Here is a 4,565-nt window from a genome sequence, read left to right as displayed (position 1 = left end):
ACTAGAGATTTATCAATTTTATTAATTTTTTAAAAAACTAGTGTTTGGTTTCATTGGTTTTCTCTCTGGTTTTGAGATTTAACTTGCTCTTCTTTTTCTACTTAAGGTGGAAGCAGAGGTTATTAATTTGAGACTGTTATTTGGTATAATATGTTTAATTTCAAAATGCATTCTAATTTTATGTGTGTTACTTTCCAAATATTTGGGGATTTTCCAGGTATCTTTATCTTACTGTTTTGTTGTTGTTGTTGTTGCTTTGTTTGAGACATGGTCTCACTCTCTTGCCCGGGCTGGAGTGCAGTGGCGCAATTTCAGCTCACTGCAACCTCGACCTCCTGAGCTCAAGAGATCCTTCCACCTCAGCCTCTCGAGTAGCTGAGACCACAGGTGTGCACCACCATGCCCAGCTAATTTTTGTATTCTTTGTAGACACGGAGTTTTGTCACGTTGTCCAGGCTGGTTTCAAACTCCTGGGCTTAAGTGATCCACCTGCCTTGGCCTCCCAAAGTGCTAGGATTACAGGCATGCACCACTATGCTCAGCTATCTTATTGTGTGTGTGTGTGTGTGTGTGTGTGGTTTTTTAATTTAATTTCATTATAGTCAGAAAACATACTTTGAGTTGAATTGTTTTCAATTTATTAAGGCTTGTTTTGTATCATAGAATATTGTCTACCTTAATACATATTTCTTACGCACCTGAAAAGAATGTGTATTATGTGGTTGTTGAGTGGAATACTCTATGAATATAAACAGAAAGATTGTTTGGTTTATGATATTTATTGTGTCTTTCAAGTCTTCTATGTCCTTACTGATATTCTACTTGTGCTATCAATTGCTGAAAGAAGATTCTGAAATCTCTGACTCTAATTGTAAATTTGCCTATTTCTTCTTTCAAGTTCAATCAGTTTTTACTTCATATATTTTGATCTTCTGTTACTTGGTGCAAAAAATTAAGAATTGTTATGTCCTTTGAGACATAAATGACCCCTTCATCATTTTGAAATGGCCCTCTTTATCTCTGCTAATATTATTTGTCCTGAAATCTACTTTGTCTGGTATTAGTATAGATACTCCAACTTTGTTTTGATCAGAATTATCTTGATGTATTTTTTCATTCTTTTGCTATTGATCTATTATGTCTTTACATTTAAAGCGGATTGTTTGTATGCAGGATATAGTTAGATGTTGTTTTATTATCCAGTCTGACCATCTCTGCCTTTTAATTTGGCGTTTATACCATTTACCTTTAATGCAATTGGTTCTATGTTTATACTTTACTGTTTGATTTCTACTTATTCAATCTATTATATGTAAAGCTTTTTCCATTTTATTGACTTCTTTTGAATTAATTAAATATTTTAAAATCTTTTTTTCCTCCTTTGGGGGACTACTAGTTATAACTCTGTTTCATATTTAATAGTTGTCTTAGGGTTAATTGCAAAAAGCTCTAATTATCACAATCTACATTTAAATAATATTATGTATATACACATGTATACACTAAAATGTGTGTGTTTGTGTGTGTGCATGTATTTCTTGAAGAGTTTCACTCTATGCCTATATATCTTAGTATTAAAAAAAGTCTGGAGCTGTTTTTTACGTAATTCTCTCTTCTCTGAAATTCTGCTTTACAGCTTCTAGCTACCTCAGACTCTTTGAACTCAAATCTCTGCTCCTCAATGCAGAGAGACCACTGTGTTTTGCTTGGGATCATCCTACTCACTCTGCTTTACAGAGTGTACCTCGGGGTAGAAAGGCACAGAGAATATTGGACTTACCTCATTTGCTTCCTTTCTTTCTTGCATTACAGTCCTAATATCCCTATTGTCCAATATTTTAAAACAGTTGTTCCACATGTTTTTCCAGTTTTTCTCATTAAGGCAAGAGAGTAAATCTGGTTCCATGATATAGTTTTAATACTTTATTGAACTCCTTGAGTTAATAAGGGGGATTTTTCAATTCATTTTTATAACTGACCATGACTTATATATGTAGAGGAGCACATTTTACTTTTGAATATAAATACATACATATGTGTATATAAGTATATGATACGTGTATGTGTGTGTGTGTTCTTATCCAGTTTTAGATTAGAAAATTCTTAAAATGCTAAAATGAGCTGGGAAGTTTTTTCTCTTTTTCCATTTTCTTGAATAAGATTAGGAAATGTTTCTTAACCATTCTTTTTTCATTATACTCTCTCCCTCCCCCAGGGCCTTTTTAGACATATTTTTTTCTAATCTTCCACCATAAAATTTAATACCACAGACATACTATATCTGTGTACCATGACCCTTTAAAGGGCAGAGACTATTTTAATATGTAAGATTTTTTTTTACACCTTTCTCTAAAACTAATTGATTTTAATCCCATTGAGTTTGTAAAGCTTTCACCTGGAAAACTTCCACATGGAAAACTTTCTGGGTTACAGGTTTTGGGAACAGGAGAGCTTTGATTACCATTTCACTTTTTGAATGCTTGCTGTTCTAGTTGATGTTTGTATTTCTTCTTGGGCCAATTGGGAATTTAATTTTGATCCCAGAAATACAGAGCTTGTACATACTAGTATGGCATCCTTTCTGGTGGGTCAGGTGTCCATCTTGATTAGTCAGTGCCCAAGCTTTACCTGTTGTTGAGTAATTTAAATACTTGTAGAACAAAATCAATCTAAGATTTAAAATATATTAAAATATAGTTATTCACAATATTCTTTTATTTTAAAAAAATTCTTATGCATCTGCTATTATTTCCCCATTTATAATTCTGTTTTGTTTATTTATATCATCTTTCCTTTATCTTGAAGAGTCTTTCCAGAAGACCATCTTGTTTATCTTTTTAAAGAAGCAATTTTAAATTTTGTTGTTTCGTTCTCGGTAAGGTTTTCCTTTTCAAAACTAATTTCTTTTCTAACAAAAAGCAGCCAGAAAAATCAAGCTGCAAGCATAGATAAGCAAGCTGGAAACTTGTATAGGTAAATGCCAGCAGTTGTGCCAATAGAAAAGGAATACCTGGACACCAAGTGTATTCAACATGGAGGTTTCCTCTTCCCTTTTCTTTGTAACCACGTGTTCAGGTAACATGGCGCTGGCCAGGTAAAGACCTCATTTGCATAATAAAAAATTAGGGTGGGCCTGCCAGCTCTTCACAGGCCATGTAAATGGCACACCTGGTCCAACCAATCCACTACGCCCTATGTAAATCAGACACTGCCTCCTCAAGTTCGTCTATAAAACCAACCACATCTCCCAGAAACCCGCTCGGGCCCCTTCCTCTGCAAAAGGAAGCTCTCTCTCCTTTCTTTCACCTATTAAACTTTTGCTTTTAAACTCACACCTTGTGTGTCCACATCTTCGATTTCCTTAGCCCAAGACAACGAACCTCGGGTATTTCCCCAAATGACGCCACTTCAGTATTACTGTTTTTCATGTTCTTTACTTTGGTTCCTGCCCTTAATATTTCCCTATTTCTAGTATCTTTAGTTTGTTCTAATTTTTCTTCTTCTTCTTGAATTAAACATTTGGCTCATTAGTTTTCAATCGTTATTTATTCGTGATAAATTTATTTAGATTTATAAATTTCCCTCTATTACTTTAGCTATGTTCATAAATTTTGGCTTAAATGCTTTCAGTTTATTCTGTTTAATATTTTTGTGAGTTTCTTTTTAATCTAATGATTATTTAGTTTTATGCTATTTAATATCCAGATTTATGGAATTTTTAAAAACCTATTACGAAGAACTGTGAAGAGTATTAAATTTGATCTTACTTGCAAGTTAACAAACCAGCCAGTCACAGTTTCAAAAATGCTGGCAGAAGACATGAGACTCCTGGATCAGAGACAAAGAACTTAATTACTTCATTTCTCATTAGTTCCCCTTGCTTCACAAGCCCCACAAGAGTGATACATACCTGGGTCCAGGAGGATGCTGGAGGTGGGGTTAAGTCACAGCTGAGGAACCCTGAGTTTAGGAAACTCCAATAAGGAGGCTGTGAGCCAACCCACCCAACTTCTGCCCCAGTGGGAGATATTATCTTCATTTTACTGGACAGCAAATAAACCTGCCCTCTGCCATGAAGGGAGATACTATTTTTATTTTCCAAGGCTGTTTGCTATATAAACATCCTTGAAAATACAGGCCAGAACAAAAGCTAACAATGCCTCTGCTCAAAAGACATACAGAAACATGAGAAATCCATGCAGCATTCTCTCCCAGCAATTATTCTTTTGTAATTTATTTCTAACAAAATTGCACTGTGGTAAGAGAACATAGTCTGTACAATGTAGATCTTTAGAACTATTTATGCAGAAAGGTGGGGAAAGTCTCCACGAGTTCAAGCACCACACACCACAGAACCTGCAGACCAACTTCATTCCCAGTGTCTGCACCAGGCGTCTCCTCCTTCAGGGACTCTTCCTTAAATATTAGGTTGCAATCCAATTTGTTGAGGGCCTGGAGAGAAAGGGAATGAAGAAATAAATGCCTTAGGGCAACTAGTCATCATAACATGTATTCTCACCAGATTCTCAACCTGGCAGGATCTTGAGGTTGCAATGATATTCTCC

At 35.1% G+C, this 4,565-nt stretch overlaps 1 annotated feature.

The window, feature by feature from the left end:
- Positions 2,454–3,653: an enhancer, noted in NCBI's record as "P300/CBP strongly-dependent group 1 enhancer chr15:71364462-71365661 (GRCh37/hg19 assembly coordinates)". NCBI's record gives its function as "activates an origin of replication core promoter dependent on BRD2, BRD4, P300/CBP, MED14 and CDK7 cofactors, with strong dependence on P300/CBP, by STARR-seq in HCT116 cells {active_cell/tissue: HCT116}" and the evidence as "EXISTENCE:reporter gene assay evidence [ECO:0000049][PMID:35650434]".

The sequence above is a fragment of the Homo sapiens genome, chromosome 15, assembly GCF_000001405.40.
Source record: "Homo sapiens chromosome 15, GRCh38.p14 Primary Assembly".
Classification (NCBI taxonomy): domain Eukaryota; kingdom Metazoa; phylum Chordata; class Mammalia; order Primates; family Hominidae; genus Homo; species Homo sapiens.
This window is presented reverse-complemented; position numbering and strand designations above follow the sequence as displayed.